Source organism: Homo sapiens, chromosome 3 (assembly GCF_000001405.40).
Source record: "Homo sapiens chromosome 3, GRCh38.p14 Primary Assembly".
Classification (NCBI taxonomy): Eukaryota; Metazoa; Chordata; class Mammalia; order Primates; family Hominidae; genus Homo; species Homo sapiens.
This window is the reverse complement of record NC_000003.12, coordinates 110,649,798-110,669,137: the sequence shown is the minus strand read 5'-3', so window position 1 is coordinate 110,669,137 and position 19,340 is coordinate 110,649,798. Positions and strand designations below refer to the sequence as shown.

General features: G+C 39.1%; 1 long non-coding RNA gene across 1 annotated transcript in view, besides 1 other annotated feature; it reads left to right on the top strand.

Annotated features, from left to right (window-relative positions):
• The first annotated feature begins 1,844 nt into the window (after positions 1-1,844).
• The window catches only part of LOC105374037 (uncharacterized), a 112,561-nt gene continuing 95,065 nt past the window's right edge, over positions 1,845-19,340 (top strand). The window contains exon 1 of the long non-coding RNA XR_924328.3: positions 1,845-1,947. This is a non-coding gene — a long non-coding RNA (uncharacterized LOC105374037). The remainder of the gene's footprint in view (positions 1,948-19,340) is intronic.
• Positions 2,081-2,580: an enhancer, noted in NCBI's record as "H3K27ac hESC enhancer chr3:110385405-110385904 (GRCh37/hg19 assembly coordinates)". NCBI's record gives its function as "activates a minimal SCP1, AML or CMV promoter by ChIP-STARR-seq in primed H9 embryonic stem cells {active_cell/tissue: H9 hESC(primed)}" and the evidence as "EXISTENCE:reporter gene assay evidence [ECO:0000049][PMID:30033119]".

Here is a 19,340-nt window from a genome sequence, read left to right as displayed (position 1 = left end):
AGTAGAGACTGCATTTTCCATGTTGGCCAGGCTGGTCTAGAACTCTGGGCCTCACATGATCCTCCTGCTTCGGCCTCCCAAAGTACTGGGATTACAGGTGTGAGCCACCACACCTGGCCCCTCTGCATTTCTTAAATTTGAATGTTGGCTTCTATAGCTAGGTTGAGGAAGTTCTCATGGATGATATCCTGAAATATGTTTCCTAAGTGGTTTTCTTTCTTGCCATCTCTTCCGTGATGCCACTGATTGATAAATTTTGTCTCTTTATATAATCCTATATTTCTTGGAGATTTTGTTTGTTCCATTTCATTCTTTTGTTTCATTCTTTTCTTTTCTGTCTTATTTCAGAAAGCCAGTCATCGAGCTCTGAGATTCTTTTCTCTTCCTGATCTATTCCTCTGTTAATAATTGCAATTGCATTATAAAATTCTTGTAGTGTGTGTGTCAGCTCTGTCAGGTTGGTTACATTCTTTTCCATACTGACTATTTTGTCTATCAGCTTCTGTATTGTTTTATTGTGATTCTTAGGTTTCTTGGAGTGGGTTTCAACATTCTCCTGAATCTCAATGATCTTTGTTCCTATCCATATTCTGTTTTATTTCCTGTGGTATGGGTTGTAATATCTCCTGTTTCATTTTTAATTGAATTTATTTGGATCTTCTCTCTTCTTTTCTTGGTTAATCTCACTAATGGTCTATCAGTTTTAAACCAGCTTTTTGCTTCATTTATCTTTTTTTTTTTTTAATTCATTTACTTCTGCTCTGATCTTTGTTGTTTCTTTTATTCTGCTGGGTGTGGATTTGGTTTGTTCTTGTTTCTCTAGTTCCTTGAGATGTGACCTTATGTTGTCTATTTGTGCTCTTTCAGCCTTTTTGATGTAGATGTTTAATGCTATAAACTTTCCTCTTAGCACCACTTCTTCTGTGTCCCAGAGGTTTTGATAGGTTGTGTCACTATTATGGTTTAGTTCAGAGAATTTTTAAATTTTCATCGTGATTTCATTGTTGACCCAATGATCATTCAGGATCTGGTTATTTATTTTCCATGTATTTGAATGGCTTCGAGGGTTATTTTCAGAGTTGATTTCCAATTTTATTCCACTGTAGTCTGAGAGAGTACTTGATATAATTTTGAATTTCTTAAATTTATTGAGACTTATTTTGTGGCCTATCATATGGTCTATCTTGAAGATTGTTCCATGTGGTAATGAATAGAATGCATATTCTTTGTTCATTTTTTAAATTCTTTTTTCTTAGTCTTTGTTGGGTTGGGTTAATTCAAAATCCTTGCCTTCAAGCTCTAAAGTTCTTACTCTACTTGCTTGATTCTATTGTTGAAACTTTTTGTAGTGTATTTTGCAATTCTCCAAGTGTGTCTTTCATTTCCAGAAGTTGTGATGGTTTTTTAATCTATGCTATCTATTTCTTGGGAGGTTTTTAATCTATATCCTGTATAATTTTTAACATTTCTTTAAGTTGTTTTTCATGTTTCTCTAGTGCTTCCTTGAGTAGCTTAATAATCAACCTTTTAAATTCTTTTTCTGGCAATTCAGAGATATCTTCTTGGTTTGGATCCATTGCTGGTAAGCTAGTGTGATCTTTTGGGGGTGCTAACAAATCTTGCTTTGTCATATTACCAGAATTGTTTTTCTGCTTCCTTCTCATTTGGGTACACTGTTTCAATGGAAAGATCTGGGGCACAGGGCCAGCTATTCAGATTCTTTTGTCCCACAGGGTGATCCCTTGATGTGGTTTTCTTCCCCTTCTGCTAGTGATGGTGCTTCCTGAGAGCTGGACGACAGTGATTGTTATTGCCCTTCTGGGTCTAGGCACACAGTGGAGCTACCGATCTCTGGGCTGGTACTAGGAAAGTGTCTGCAAAGAGTCCTTTGATGTGACCTGTCTTCAGATATCTCAGTCTTGGATATCAGCACCTGCTCCAGCGGAGGTAGCAGGGGAGTGAGGTGGACTCTGTGATGGTCCTTGGTCATAGTTTTGTTTTGTGCTGTTTTTCTCAAATGCTGGTTGTGGTAGCAGTGGAATTGTCACATGGACAGACTCAAGACCTTTGGTTAGCCAGAATGTTATAGATGGTGGAATTAGCTGTTGTTTTCTTTTTTCTTGGAGTAGGGTTGTTCTTTTATGAGTTGCTGTAATGGCTTAAGTTTGTTTGCCTTTAACCAGGAGGTGGTACTTTCCAGAGTTGCATCAGCTGCAGTAGTATAGTGGGGATACAAGCTTTCCTTAAGGTCACCTGGATAAGTATTCGAGTTTCTCAGACAATGGGCAGAGCCATAGAGCTCCCAAGAGATTATGTCTTTTGTCTTTGGCTGCCAGGGGAGGTAGAGAAAGACCATCAGGTAGGGGCAGGTTTAGGGGTGTCTGAACTCAAGACTTTCCTTGGGCGGAGCTTGCTGCAACTGCTGTGGGGAATGGGGGTGTGGTTCTCAAGCTAATCAAGTTATGTTTCTAGGGGATTATGGGTGTCTCTGCTGTGTCATACTGGCTGCCAGGGAAGTGGGGGAAGGCCAGCAGTGACAGGCCTCATCCAGCTTGCATGCAGCCAGCAAGGCCAGTTTTACTCCCACCATGCCCCACCAACAGCACTGAATTTTATATCCAGGCAGCTGGTGAGCAGGGCTGAGATTTTGCACCAGGATACAAGCCTCCGCATTGAGAAAGCAAAAAGGGCTTTCAGGCCCTGTCCCTCCCTGCCTGCCACAGCTTCTGCGCTTGTATCTGCATATCTCATTTGCTCCCTGACCCCTAGATTCTGTCCAGGAAAATTCACACCCAGTTAAAATTGTTATGAAGTTCAGCTGGAAGTTGCCTTCTCCCTCTTGTCCCTCTCAATTTCAGTGGCAGCCCTCCCCAAGGGCCCCTGTGAGATAAAGTCAGAAATGGCTTCCTTGGGGAACAAGAGTGCCTACAAGGCTCTTTCTGCTGCCTCTACTTTTATATTTTGCTTGGCTCTTTAAATTCATTTCAGGTCTAGGTAAGGTTAAATCCTTCTCCCATGATCTGGATTTTCAGGTTCCCCAGTGAGGATGTATGTTTGGAGAAAGACTTTCCTCCCTTACATTTTGAGCACCCGCAGTTTTTCGTCTTTCTCAGGGAGTTTGCAGTGGCAAGCCGCTTCTTTTCCCCTATCCATTTTCTGAATCTATTTCTGTCATCAGCTATCTCAGCCTGGTCAAGACCTTTTGCTGGAGAACTAGTATGATCATTTAGAGAAAACAAGGCACCCTGACTTTCTGAGTTGCCAAGAGTTCTTGTGCTGGTTTTCTCATTTGTGTATTCTGATGTTTTTTCAGTCTTTGAAGTTGGTGTCCTTTGGGTGGATTGTTTTACCTTTTTCTTCGTTGATGCCCTTGGGAATTTGATTATGGTATAAGGTGGGTTTGGTTGACTGTCTTCAATTCTAGATTTTTCCTGGGTCTTGGAGGAGCCCCCTCCAATTACTGTCTAGTGTCTGCACTTTTTTTGTTGGGTATTCTGGTGCATGGGGCTTGTTCAGGCCGGGGCTGCAGTTGGCCGACAAGCTGTTTCCTTGTCAAGCTGGCCTTAATCTTCTATTCATGTACTTTCTGGGGAAAGATGAGGTTGCATCTGCCAGCAGAGTTCAGGCTGAAGTGGGATGATTTGCCTGGAAACTCTAGTGGATGTGACCTATCTGGCTATGGAAGGTGGGAGTGGGTGGGATTGTCAGCACTGCTATTTGGATATTTCTAGCGAAAAAGGAGCCTGTGCCCCTTGGCAGATTGAAGCAGATGTAGGGCTTCTGGGCTGGACATTCTAGCAGGTGTTGCCCACCTGACTATTGGTGGTGGGGGTGGTAGAGTCATGTGCCTTGCTGATCAAATGTTTCCTGGAATATCAGGAGGCTGTGCCCTCCAGCTGAGTTCACATAGAATTGTGGCTGCTGGGTCAGAAGCTCTAGCAAATGTTGCCCACCTGGCTACCAGTGGTGGGGGCATGCTCAAGCAGGACATTAGGAAGCTGCACTCTCCAGCTGAGTTCACACAGAGGCAAGACTGCTGGGCTAGTAGCTCTAGCAGGCATTGCCTGCCTATCAGTTGCAGGGGTGTGTGGGGTATAGGTTGGATCCCACGAGGAAAAGTGAAAGCTACTAGGACTTTTGAGAAGTGGACCTGAAATTGGTACACTATCATTTTTGCCACATTTTACTGGTTGAAGAAGTCATAACTCCAGTAAAGAAACATGGGGAGAAGATATGAATGCCTCCTAAAGGGAAAAGCTTACAAGATTCCATTGCAAAAGATCATGGCAAAGATTATTGTTTCTCTTTTAAACCAATCATCTGTCATATCTACTGCAGTGTATAAAGGATGTTTGATGATCTTCCTTTATTTGTGAGATTTTACTTTTAATTATATATTAATGATTAAATTAGCCACCCTACAAATGCTGCCTGAGAGCAAATTAAATCATGTAATTTTCAATTACTAATATATGTGGCATATTAAGGATAAATTGTTCATGCTAATAGACAAGATTAAAACTCTGTGGTCATCCTTTTAAAGTGAAAATATCATATTTACATTAATTTCAATTCTCTGACACTGCTAATCATGGAAAGCTGGCTAATAATGATTCTGTAGCTGAGTGCTCAATCAACGTGGAATGTCCTTTCTGCCCAAATCAGTTAGAAGTGTCTATATTTGGAATTTGCCTACCATTACTTCCTTTTCTAAGAGCCAAATTCCTTGACCTTTTCAATAAGAGGAAAGTAAGATATAGTGTCATTGCATTGGCATGAACATATTTTGAATATCTCCTTAAGAAAATAAAAAAAGAGAACATGGAGGTTGGCAGGGCTTTTAGGGGTGTGGTTGTCAAGCTGGCATGGAAGTAATACTTTTCTCCCTACAATCAAATTCCTTTTCCTGATACCCCTTAAATCCCGAGTCCCTGGATCTCACTCCTGAAATACATAAGAGAAGCAAGGCCCCTGAGATGAAATGTCATGGTGGTTGTTGCAGAGGGAGAAAGAAGATAACTGGTTTCTTTTCTGGGAAGCAGTCAGTGACACATTGGGGAATAATTAGAATTAGATTGAGCCGTAGTCTTCTTAATCCTAAACTGAGGTGTTAAGGACTTCCTTTAACATAAAAGTTTTGATGCCACAGTTCACATGACTACAGGAGGATTTTATTTCAGGGGTTCAGAACACAAGTTTGGGGTTATATAGCCTCCCTTAGTTGCCTGGTTCTGCCAGTTGTAGGATACTGAGAAAGTTATTTAAGCTGTTTTGCTCCAGAGATAACAAATAATAATATATATCTCAAAGAGTTGTTATGAGGATGAAGGAAGATACTGTCAGTAATTAGTGCAGTGACTGGTTCCATTGAATTCTAAATGGCTAGAAGCTACAATTATTATTAGTTATAATTAGCTATTAAAATTAAAAAGCCATAATTCTTTACAAATTATCAAGCCAAACATTGCTCAAAATGAAAGTATTGCAATGAACTTATGAGATATTATATATGATTATATTTATGTATGATTTTCAAATGTGTATTAATTTTTAGTATGTACCTAGAACTCTCTAATTTGTACTGCTTTTGTAAAATGAAGTTATCAATAAGAAAAATAAAAAAATTATTGTACTTGCTTCAATTTCTGAATCTCATAATTATCTTATAATTAATTTCAATTTTTGTGTTTAAAAGTTCTCTGCTATAGAGGACATATATAATCCTATGGCTTAGGGTGAAGGTTATATAGTTTTTCACTTGATTTTAGATCCCATTTATTTCTTAACAAGAGATTTATTTATTTCCATATCACTTATTTGGAATATCCTTTCAGTTCTTCTCTAATTGTCCAGTGTAGGGTCTTATAACTCATAGCTTTTCATAGTTTTATAAAGCATAAAGAGTTTTTTCTATAACTGTATTAGTCCATTTTCACACTGCTCTAAGGAATACCTGAGACTGGGTAATTTATAAAGGAAAAAGGTTTAATTGACTCACAGTTCTACATGACTGGGGAGGCCTCAGGAAACTTACAATCATGGCAGAAGGCCAAGGGGAAGCAAGGTATGTCTTACATGGCAGCAGGAGAGAGAGAGAGAGAGCGAAGCAGGAAGTGCCACTTTTAAACCATCAGATCTCATGAGAACTCATTCACTATCACTAGAACAGCATGGGGGAAACTTCCCCCATGATCCAATTACTGCCCACTAGGTCCCTCCCTTGACATATGCATATTACAATTCAAGATGAGATTTGGGTAAGGACACAGAACCAAACCCTGATGCAAGAGGTGGGTTTCCAAGATCTTGGGCAGCTCTGCCCCTGTGACTCTGCAGGGTACAACCCCCATGGCTGCTTTAATGGGCTGCCATTGAGTGCCTGCGGCTTTTCCAGGTGCACAGTCCAAGTTGTCAGTGGATCTAGGAGGTTGGTGGGCTCTTCTAACAGCTCCACTAGGCAGTGTCCCAGTGGGGACTCTGTATGGGGGTCCCAATCCCATATTTCCCCTCTGTATTGCCCTAGCAGAGAGGAAATGAGGGCTCTATCCTTGCAGCAGACTTCTGCCTGAACATCCAGGCATTTCTGTACATCCTCTGAAATCTAGGTAGAGGCTTCCAAATTTCAACTCTTGTTTTCTGTGCACCTACAGGCCCAACACCACATGGAAGCTGCCAAGGCTTGGAGCTTGCACCATCTGAAGAAGTGGCCTGAGCTGTACCTTGGCCCCTTTTAGCCATGGCTGGCGCTGGTGCCTCTGGGATGCAGAGTGCCTTGTCTTAAGACTGCACAGAGCAGTGGGGCCCTGGGCCTGGCCCACAAAACCTTTTTTCTCTCCTAGGCCTCCAGGCATATGATAGGAGGGACTGCTGTGAAGATCTCCAAAATGCCCTGGAGACATTTTCCCTATTGTCTTGGCTGTTAACATTAGACTCCTTGTTACTTATGCAAATTTCTGGAGCTGGCTTTGGCTTGAATTTCTTCCCAAAAAATAGGCTTTTCTTTTCTACCACATGGTCAGGATGTGAATTTTCCAAACCTTTATGCTCTGCTTTTCTTTTAAATATCACTTGCAGTTTCAAACCATCTCTTTGTGAATGCATTTGAATGTAAGCTTTTAGAGAAAGCCAGGTCACATCATGAATGCTTTGCTGCTTAGAAATTTCTTTCACCAGATACCCTAAGTCATCTTTCTCAAGTTCAAAGTTCCATAGATCTCTAGGGCAGGGGCAAAATGCTGCCAGTCTCTTTGCTAAAGTATAGGCAAGAGTAATCTTTACTCCAGTTCCCAATAAGTTCCTCATCTTGAGAGAGAGAGAGAGAGAGAGAAAGAGAGAAAAGCAGGAAGTACCACTTTTAAACCATCAGATGTTGTGAAAACTCATTCCGTATCACAAGAAGAGCCTGGGGGAAACTGCCCCCATGATCCAATCACCTCCCACCATGTCCCTCCCTCGACATATGGGGATTGCAATTTGAGATAAGATTTGGACACAGAGCCAAACCCTGTCAATAACCCTCCTACTTTACCCCCGCTAAGTGTTAGCTTGGTAGTGTGACATTCTTTCTAAGAAGTATTAACATTTTTGACTTCTATTGTAGCCCTGTAACCTTCATAAAGTAGATTTCTAACAAGAAAATGTCTCCCTCCAAGAATAAAATTTCGTTTATTTTTATTTATATTGTCTGGCCACTTTACTCATCAAATGACATTGCCATGACAGAGAATGAAATCACAGCCTCTTAGAAGGTTTCCCTTTCAGATGTGGTTATAAAACATAATGGGAGCAAGTTGGGCCTGAAGTGGGAATTTGAGTGAATCTCATGTTCCATCTGAAATTATGGAACAGTTACTTAGCCCTATCTTTAATGCACAGGCACCTATTTACATGTTGAAATGTATGCATAAAAGGAGTCTGCTATTAGGAAATTTAGGAATAAAGTTCCTTGGGGAGAAATAGTGACCTTGAGATGACAGAAGACCTTTGTGCTGGGCCAAGAATCTTCAGTGGCTTCTTTTTGGGAAATGTCTAAAGCAGAAGCCATGAGGCTTGTTTTTGTGAAGGATTCTGTAGTATTTGGGTAGGCATAGGCTTGGAATTTATGTTCAAATTCTCACATAGAATTAAGGATGTTGGTATTCTCAGTTCCGTGTTGAAATATGTGTAGCTGCAATGAAGGAGGATTGCTTCAGCTATGTAATACTGCATAACAAACCACCCTGAACAGTGGCAAAAAGCAATAACAACATTTCTTTTGCTCACATTTTGCAATTTGGACAGAATTTTGCAGGGATAACTCATTGCTGCTTGACTAGGAGTCAGCTGAGCAACTCCAAAGCTAGCAGTTGGAATAATCTAAAGGCTTTTTTTTTGAGACAGGGTCTTGCTTCATCTCCCAAGCTGGAGTGTAGTGCTACAATCACAGCTCACTGCAGCCTGGAACTCCTGTTATTTGGGAGTACAGGTGTGTGCCACCATGCCTGGCTAATTTTTTTTATTGTAGAGACAGAGTCTCACTGTGTTGCTTAGACTGCTCTCGAACTCCTGCACTCAAGCAATCCTCCTGGCTCAGCCTCTCAAAATGCTGGGATTATAGGTGTGAACCACTGTACCTAGCCTGAAGTCTGCTTTTTGTGCACATCTAGCAATTGATGCAGCTGTATACTAATATCGTACCTGGGGATGCTGATGGGAACACTTACACATGGTATTTACGTGTGGTTTGTGGTTCCTCACAAAATGGTGGCTGAGTTCTAAGTGCCAAGATCTTAAAGGGGACAGCTGGGAAGAAGCTATATCCTTTTTGTTATCTAGTCTTGGAAGTCACATAGCATCACTTCTGCCTTATTCTACTTATTCTATTGTTTCAAGCCTGCCCAGTTTCAAGGGTAGAAAAAAGAGAATCTACTTCTTAATGAGAGAGTAGCAAGGTCCTGGAGGAGCATGTGATATCAAAAGTAATGCTGTGGCTCGTTGTGAAGAATACATCCTTCTTAAAGACTCAAGGGCTTGCAGAAGTTCTTGTCACATCAGTTAAGTGGTTTTGGGAGAAATGCTGAGGACATTAGGGATGCAGATTTCTCACGCAGCATCCAGATTCCAGTCTTAGTGCTAAAGTGGGCTTTTCTCAGGAAAGAAATGATGCTAGTCCTCTGGAAACCTTGAAGGTTTTGAGGCAGTTGTGAAAGTGATAACTCTTTTCCATGAAAATTTGTGTATCAATGCTAATATGAACTCATTTGTACCACAGTCTGCTAAGGCCTAGGGCAATGTAGGATAACATGAATATCCAATAAAAACAAAGTATATTGAATCATTTAAAAAAATTAATGAGTACTTGTCTTTGTTATCATAATTTATAGAAATTCATAGATAAACATTTTATATTTATACAACTGATTCATGTTAGAATTGCATTCTGCTCTTGTCATTTAACTATTTACATAGACATTAGATTGTCTTTTACCCAGTTTACTTTGCAGAAAAGATTTCAGAGAAATTTGGATTAATTTCTGCTGGTATGACTATTGGTACAAGTTGAATCGTAAGTGCCTTCATTTCTGCATAAATCTCAAAATGCTGAATTCATGTGATAACTTTCATTGTTCTTGACCAACTTGGTCCACCTACCTAAAGCAGAGTCATTGGCAGATTTGGCAGTCAAATCCTATATCCCTATACATACTAATGCATCTCCCAGTTTCTCCACCTCTTTCTCATCAAATACACTGTATTGAACAATGCTAGAACCAATGCTAGACCTCTGGATATCTAATTACTAACTTCATTCTTAGTCACAGCTGTTCACTAAGACTTCCATGACTCTTCACAGCAACTCTTCACAGTATTTTGCCCTTTATCCTCTACTGATTTCTTTCCCTTTATAATCTGTTATAAAGAAACTTTTAAAAAAGCTTATTTAAAAATTCTGAGCAAACTATATCCACTGGATCACTTATATAGTATGCTATATTATATCTTATGTAAGATAGGAGGAAATTTAGTAGATTAGAGACTTTTTTTGGAATTGTTTCATTGGTTCTGTAAACTTTGCAGTACAGTGGCTGGTTTTCGTTTAATTAAATTCCTAATGGATTTACCCAAGAATTAAAATATTAGTTTTATTAAGATGTGATTTCTCATATTTTGTTTGGAAGCTGCAATATTTTTATAATGTATGCTATATCAATGGCAGTTTTCAGGCATATTGATCATTAGTTTAAATTTAAAATATCTGATCTACCTCACAGAAATTAGTCATAAAAGTAGAAATGCATTCGTGAATTTATTTTCACATACTTTCTGGCCTACGTTGGCTCAGGCTTAATATATTAAATTTACTAAGAGACCTCAGTGTCACAGCCACAGCTGTAAACAAAGTTTTCATTCATTCTTTTAAGGTATATACTATTTAAGAGATAAAACTGGGGCTGAAAGAAGTTAAAAGTGATCATTAACGGTGGGCGCAAGATATAGTGGAGGAAAATCCCCAAACTGTTATTCTCCCAAGATGGTGCTCATGTGAGCAGAAAGCAGGGGAGTTGGTCCTGGCATTGCTGACAACTTGCAACAGATCCCACCTGCAGAAGATTGGGGAAGTGACAGAGAGGTCTGGGAAGGGGAGCAGTGTATTAGGCTGTGCCTCAGGTTCTCTGCTTCTGCTGGTCCTCACACCTCACTGCTGGAACCATAGATGATCCCCACTGCCAAAGTAGCTCTGACTCAATCTGATGCTGACTATCCTCAGGTCAGCAGCTTCTGTACTACCCTACAGATTTTAGAGGGTAGATTTGGGAGTTGCATTCCAATCATAAACCAATCTCTGATGACAGAAATGGTACCTGAATCACTGGGCTGCCAGATTGGTCCCATATCCCTCCTTTCCAGCATACCCTGGCCATCACACAACACCCACTACCACCTCCATTCCACCCAATTTGGAGTTGCACCAATCAGATTTTTACCTGACCTGCCCCTCAATTGATTCTGAACCAGGATCACTGGCCTTTGGTAGGGTCTCAGGACTTGGATCTGAAGGAAAAAAGGGGTGGGAGTGATCCCAAGTAGGAGCCAAGAGGAATAAGATCTAATTTCTGAAGAGGTTAGGGCTGAATTGAAAACTAGGGTGCATTCAAAATATCAAGTCAAGGAGATCAGAATTAAAGCATAAGCAAATGGAAACAGGTCAGTTGATAGTACAGGTTTGGAAGACAGAGCCTGGCTGGATCTGCTGAAAGCTAGTGCACTAAAGGCTGAAGGCTTTGTGATGGGCAGCGGACAGCTCTGCCTTCTGCTGGGGTGAGCAGCTAAGGGCAACCCCCAGCATCAATCTTCTTTTTCTGACTATGTGATTTTTGGTATATTACATAAATCCTTTGAGTTTCCTTTTTTTGGCTATAAAATAGCAATAATAATACTTGCTTGCAGTATATCGTAGGGATTACAGATATAAAGTTACTAACAGACATGGCCTGCATAAGTGCTCATCATATGGTGACCCTCAGTACAGCTCTATTACTTACTAGCTTCATGGTCTTGGAGAATTCATTTTACTTTTTGAGCTTCAGTGTCTTGTCCTATGAATGAAGAGGTTAAATTAGACCATCTCTTAGTCCCTGTCCAACACAAAGACCCTAAAATCTATTCTACATTCTTATTTGGTGGCAAAGGAGTCTTGCTCTCTAAGACTATCTTGCAACTACCCTGAAACTCAGGTCCAAACCTACAAATTAGATTAAATCCTATTAAAAAAAACTCCTTTGAAACATTAAAGCCCACATATATGTTTAAATAACCTTGTCAAATTTGCTCTCCCTGCAGAGGGCTTTTCATTATTCTTTTTCATTAAAATAAAAATCCCTCTGGTTGACTTTCTAAATGTGTTTTCGTTAGGCCCTCAGCCTGTTGTTAACCATTTTCAACCTCATATTAAACTCTGTCCTCTTGAAACTTAATGCTCTGCTACTCCCTGAGAAGTCACCCACAATAATGATAGAGTAGGCACTTAATATGCTAAATAATAATAATAATATAAAATCAAAATGTAATGATCACTAGCTGCTCAATAAGGGTCTGTCACTCACTTCCTTTATCAGTAATTTTCACTATAACGTTCTTCTTTGAAAGGGGAGGGGAGAAAACCCTGCACAGCAAATGGCTCCAGGCTCCAGGCTGTGGTAAATAGGGTATCTAATATCCAGAAAATGAATATGCAGCCTTTAGGGAAACATATGCAATGAAGGTAAATGGATTCTCAGATTAGGAAGTTTAGTCCTAAGGAATAAAAGGAACTAATTTGCAAGAGAAAAGAATAGATGTAGTTGGATTTCACCCTGCTGATAAACTGTACTTCCATAGAGATTTCCCTCTTCTTTATTTCAAAAGCTATAGAAGTCAAGGGTTTCCTGTTCCTTTATGTTCCATAAACGAGTTGTTCAGATAAGCAGCTCATTGCTCTATCAACTAATTACTTTCTGATTTGCTTTGATCTATTATTAAGGCAGTAAATTCCAGCTTCATTGCACCCATAATGTAAAACTCAAATGTAATCACTGTTGCAAAAGGAGATAACAAAGTTGTTGATTTGAAAAAGACATTTCCTTTTTGGCAAGAAGTCTAGCGTGTGATACACATGCTTTCCATGTCGTTCAGGCAATTGACTTTGACACAAACCCATTCTATACTCTATGGATCTTTTGCCAGAAAACAAGTCATTTAAGTATCCAGCTTCCTTGGAATTTTTATTTATATGTGAAGCCATTTTGCCTGCTATTCTCATAGTTATGATACGCTACTATTCATGAATTAAAGCATCTTTTGAGTGTGGCATATGGGATCAGTACTTCATAATCAAATCTTCATGTGTATTAGCAACCTTACTATAAAGTTGTAACCTTTTTGTCTTAACCGCATTACAAGTTAATCTTTCGTAGGCTATTTTTTTCTAATTCATCTGAACAAATTGAGTTTATAAGTTAGAATTCTCCTACAATCTTTGTAGTCCATATGTGCAAAGCCAAAACAGCCCTCTGAGAATATTAAAGGCCTCCAAGGTTACTTTCTGTAAAAAAATAATTCACTATCCATTTAGCTTTAGGAAAATCCATGTTTCCAAAATCACATGCAAACAAGAATTTGATTTCTACAAATGGTTCTATAAACTGAAAGACATTCTGATGACTGACTTGTCTTGAAATTTGTTTTGTATTTTATCATCTCCCTTCGGTCTCTCTCCCTCTTCATATTTCTGCATACGTGGATATGTGTACCATGCCCTTATTTTGTTCTCCAGGTTGGTTTTGGGCATCAAAGGGATACCAAGAGACATGATTTCCAAAGCACTTCAATCTTTAATGGACATTTCTCCTCCAGACAAGGCCTGGATAGCTTTTAAGTTTCTATGCACAGTAAGAGAGCAGGCAATATTACTAGATTAGCTCTTCATTTAATAATGCTTTAATATACATCACTCGAACTCTACCATTTTACCTTAGGAATAGTTGATTATCTACTGTCTACTCTGAACTGTCTTTCTTTGTGGCTCTCAAGTATTTTACTCTCTCTCCAACTCCCTCCTCTTCCCCGTGTCTCCCACCCTCACGTAACAACTATTCTTGCAAATTTTATCTGGGTTTTAAAAGTTGTGTTAATCTAGAGAATCAAGAATTTGGTTCAGAATAAAACTGCCATTTTCCTCCCACTTTATTTTACCTGGCAAGGACTTTGGAGCAAAGTGACTTTTGACCTCTTTTTGAGAGCTGGGAGTTTGGTAATAATTCACTTTCTTGATAAGGAGAAGGCAGTGAGGAATTTAAAGGCCTCTGTACCTGTTGTATAAATTGGCCAGAAGCCTTGTTACTTGTTCTTTTGTAAAACGAAAAAGATTAGATTTTATACAGATCCTGTCTATTGGGAAAGGGCTTGTGTTTTATAAGTTGGATTGGAGAGATTTGGTACAGCACAAATAAGGTATCTTAAAAATTTTCAGTTTTTGGTGCCTAGGAGCAGAATTATATGACTTGGCAAATAAGGAGGTAGTTGATATTTAAGGCCAATATTGCAACCATAAAAGTTAATGACTGTGCAGATTTTTATATTGGATAACTTCTGCTGTTGACGAACCTTGACCCAATTAAATCACTTTAAAAGTTAACTGCAAACTGCTTTCGGATTTGCATTATCTGCCTTTGCACTAGTAGGAATCATCCTTTCAGTTGTGTGAACTTGAGCAAGGTAGTTGACTCTCTGAACTAACTTATTTGTAAAAAAGAAAAAGTATAGTTTCTGCTCATTAAGCTGTGATAGCATTAAATGTGATCATATAAGTCGATCAGATAAGAGATGTGAAATGTATTGGACAGTGTCTGACATAGAGCAAGCACTCAATACGTATCAGCCATCATTATCATTATCATGATCACATAAGTAATCTGGCTCCCAGGGTGTTTAGCTTTGGAGAGAAATTACTAATTAAAGTTTTAGTAATTGGAGGGTGGGAGACTTACTGGAAATTGTACTCTTATTCCCCTGTCATCAGTTTAGTCAATCCCAGGAATGTGCTCACCATCAAAAACACTTTTGTTTGAAGTAATTATTGACAGGTAAGGACTTACTATTGCCATTTTGTTAGTCATTTTCTGATTGCTTTGTAGTTCCTACTTTCAGTTCTTCCTTTCTTGCTGTCTTCCTTTTTGATTTGATGACTTTTTTGGTGATATGCTTTAAATTCCTTTCTCTTCATCTTTTGTTTATCTACTAAATGCTCAAGACCACTTTTGAACCCTCATTGTAGGTAGAACAAGATAAATGCTATCAATTATGGTAGGGCTATATGTTAAGAAAAAATATCTTTATTCAACCACTTACATAAATTTTGTTTTCCATTGACTTGTAAAAAGTAAAATAATAGCAGAAATTTCTCAAATCCATTCATTTCTATTTTTATCATCTAAGTTGTTTGAGCATTCTTGGATATTTTTATGTTCATCAAATTAAAATTTCCTAATTGCACAGTCTACTGCAAAAATGCTTTTGATGTTGGCACGTTTTTGTCCTATTTTGACCATTATTTAGAGTTTTTAGTGACTTACTAAGGAAGTCTTCAGTGCATATAGCTAGATCTGCTGAAAGCTCGTGTACTAAAGGCCGAAGGCTTTGTGATGGTCAGTGAACATAAGGAAATAACATTTCCTAGTAGACAGCCGTAGTCATTCTCCTGGGGATTACACCCTCCAGTAGTTCCAAATGAACAGAAAGAAGAGAACTTACATTTTTAGAGTATCAACTATGTACAAGTTGCTTTACGTAACAAAGACTAATATTTACAGAGTTTTGTATATGTATTACATAATTCAACTTATTGAATTCTGAGATATAAAGTCCATGAAATAGATACTGATATTATCCCTGGTTTAGAGATGAGGACTTAAAACATAGAAAAGTTATACAACTTGTTCAGGCTATCTACCTGGAAAGATGCAGAATTGGGACTTGAAGCTGGGAAGTCTGTGTTTTCTTTTCTGCCATGCTGTCCTCTCAGTTCATTTCCATAGCAACTCATTGTGTGGATACCACTTTCTTACTGAGGAGAAAACAGAAGCTCAGAGAAGTGGAGTAACATGTACTTGTCCTCTAGCCTATACCACATTCAGACAGAAGAGGAAACAAGTGTCATTTCAAACATAACAGCGGCCCATTATTTCTTGGTTAAAGGGAAACAAAGGGCAAGTTTGGGTATGGCTGCCCTTTACACTGCCCTTGCTGATTGAATCCATGAAGATGCTCAGGGGAGCTGAAGGAAGTGAGAAAAATATGTTTGCAATCCTCTTAGCACACCTACTAGCTGACTGGAAACTGGCTAAAGGTTCCAAACGTTCCATAGATGGAAAGAGCTTATTCTCTGTTGCCATAATCCATGCTATGCCCCTGTCCAACATGCTGGCAAGGGAGGCATCAAAGATCAGAGTCAGGAGCCTCCTCCATTCTGAGGGGTGTCAGTGAGGAGACTTTTTCTGCCATGTGAGACAGGATTGTTCCCTTGACCTTGACCCCCTTAGTAGGCGGGAACTGGAGTGGCTTGTTTCACTCATCCCACCGCTGGCCATTCCTCATAAGAGGGAGTGTGTGAGCAAGACAGTGTGGGAACCAGAGCAAATAAAACCCTGGAACCAGCTGGTCCCTCCTCTCTGGCGGTAGCAGGCTTTGTGTGGGCCCTGCAGCAACCCTCAAGCCCCGACCACTCCGCACCCATGTTCTTATCTCACATCCAGAAGGAATCAGGTCACGTGAACGGACTGAAGGATAGTGTATGCAGGATATTTTATTGAGCAATGGAAGTGGCTCTCAGCAGGATGGGGAGTTTGAAAAGAGATGGTGTGGGAAGAAGGTGATCTTTCCCTGAAGCTGCACTGTCTGAAGTTAGATGCATCTATCTGTAGTCTCGGACACTAAGTTACTTTTCTACTCGCCGCTCAGCCACTTGTATCCTCGCCCATCAGCCACTTGTATCCTCGCCCCTCAGCCACCTGTGTTGCTCTGCCAGTTGAAGTCTTTTTTATGGGTCCAGGATAGGGGCATGGCAGACCAAGAAGGCAACATTTGGGTGGAAAAATGGGGTCAACTGTTTTCACTTAGAGTTGCAGTTCCAGGCTTAAAGGTGGGGTTTAGCTGGGAGCCCAGCCCTTCTGCATCAAATGTTACAGCCAGACTAAAACAAAGGCAGAAGAGGGGCCATAAGACAATCAAAGTAGGGGAGACAGGAAGAGGGAAAGAAAAGTAGCTAAAAGAAAAGAAAGGAAGACAGGAAAAAGGAAAGCCCAGGGCTGGAGTTTCATTCCCACGAGAGGGGAGAACTGGCCTGCTATGGACTTCTCCTTTTTTCCTGCTTCTAGATAGAAAACATATTCATTCCCCTCAGGGCTCTGAATCCTGCACCAGTTGAAAATTCATTTGAAAAATCAAATTGTGTCTGAGAAACAAGCACCTCCCGAAAGGCCCTGGCGGTCAGAACAATCAGGATTTAAATTAATTGCTTAATGGAAAAAAACATTTTTGAGAACAATGCTGATAATTTACTAAACCACGGTATGTTTGTAACTCTTTGAAATGAATTGAATTGCTGGTTTCAAGAATTAAGGCTTACAGAGAAATTGTGATTGAAATCCCCAAAGTTAAGTATTAATTCCTTAAAGCAATTGGTAATTAGTGAAGAATTGTGCACTTACAGTCAGTACTACATTCAACACTTAATTATACACTGTCTCAAATTGTTTCCTAGATGTTGTATGCATGTTGTCTTGTCTCCCAAAACTTGATCATAAAGTCAATGAGAAAAGTACCGAGTTTCTTTTCTTGGAGTTTTATTGGTGTCTCCCACTGTAGCTAGCATAGCACTGAACACAGACGGATACTCAAAAGTTGATGGATGCAGACTGAGATAAATCAGTGAGTTTAGAAAACATTGGCCTTTTGAAGGAAAATTCATTTAGTTATCCCAGCATGCCAAGAACAGGGCACATTTCTCAGGAGAGACAAAAAAGTGAATGAATATGTTATGGATTTAGAAATTGCATGTGCTAAATGGAGTAGAGAATTTGAAAGGAGACATCCTATTTGAGTGAAAAGAAATTGCAGACAACTTGAGGTCAGGCATTTGCTGTGGAGCAGCTTGATTTGGTTTCTGCTGATTTATCTACGTTTTACAAGATTGAAAATAATCATTAGGCCTGGAAGGGCATGGAGATCAGAGGACTCCAGTGCTACATGACTGCCTCATAATTTTCTGGGACTTCTACACTTTTCAAAAGCTTTAATTGTGACATGTGTATTTAAAAAAGCAATTGAAAAAATGAGATCTTGCTACTATTCATTTGTAAGTGACAAAAATAAAGGACTTACCATTGTATTTGCTAAGTTGAAATTCATTCCTCCATGCTGCAGGCATGAAAAAAAATCACCTCTGCTGTTAGGAATATTCACTCATATTTTTAATTTTTTTTGTCTTCAGCTTAAAAACATTAAAAGCTTCCATGATAATGATAGCTCTCTTTAAAAGAATGTTGAAGAATTGTCCATGTTTTATATGTTTACTTTAATTTTGTATGAAAGGAGTCAGTGGTGATGAAAGGCTGGGAAAATATAAACAAATCTACTTTGCAATAATTATAAGGTAACCAAACAATGACTGCAGATCATATTACTTTACATCGATTCCAGGCACTACTCCCACACTAAGGGACAAACTCTCTATGAACTTGCAAGTATCTATCTGTTGACTTATTTCCCACTATTCTTCATATTACCTGCTATATTCCAGTAACTTCAGATTGCTATGCCCCTCAGCACACAACACATTTTCTTAGTGCTTTGATTTGGCTTGGCCTGGAATGGCCTTCCTATTCTTGTTCGCTCTTATTCATCCTGTAAGACTTCTACTGGGCAAACCCTTCAAAATCTCCTTCTCCCTACATCCCCAGATTAGGCTAAGTGTCCTATTAATATCTATGGCATTCTTATTACTCTAACATGCCTCAATGCCATCTCTTTCTGTATTATGTTAAATATCTAATTATATGTCTATCTTCTGCATGGGTTGGGGTTCTGTTTTCTTCCCTAACAGCTTTTTGAAAAAAGAAAAATCTTAATTCTCTTCACATAAAGTGCTATTTTCCCTGGTCTATTCTCTTTCCCTCTTACCCCAATCCTCAACTGACCTAACATCTTTTTTCTTCTGTCTTTCTTCTTCTAACTGCCCCCGCTCTGCTTTTGCTTCCCATCTACTTTGACTTCATGATGACCATGATAAATGCAGCAGAATGAGCTTAAAAATAAATGTTAGTTTAAAAAGTATAATTAGCTAAAAATGGCTTTATGTTTTCAATTCCTACATCTGCTGTATTTCCTATTATACTTTAAGCTACTTAAGTATACACATTAAAAAATATGAAGTCTTTGATTTTGGTTTACTTGCCTAGTAGCAATAAAATAAGAGATATTGTTTTATGATATAGGGAGGGATATAAAATTATTATTTTTTATTATTGACCTGATCCGTGGGGAGAAAAAAAATTATAGGGTTTTGTACTTGCGCTGTCTCTTTCTCTCTCTCTTTTTTTCAAATAAGACATATTCAACATTTTCCTTTATGCCTCCAAATTCCTTTTAGAAATGAGAACCAGAGAACATAAAGTGTTACTTGATAATTGCAGCAAATGTTGTAAACTTTTGTGTGATGTTATAGTTATTATAAGGGAATAAAAGCCAGAAGAGATAGGAAGAAACAATGTTAAAATGAAGAGACACATATATATGACACATACATATATAGACAGAGACCAGTGTGA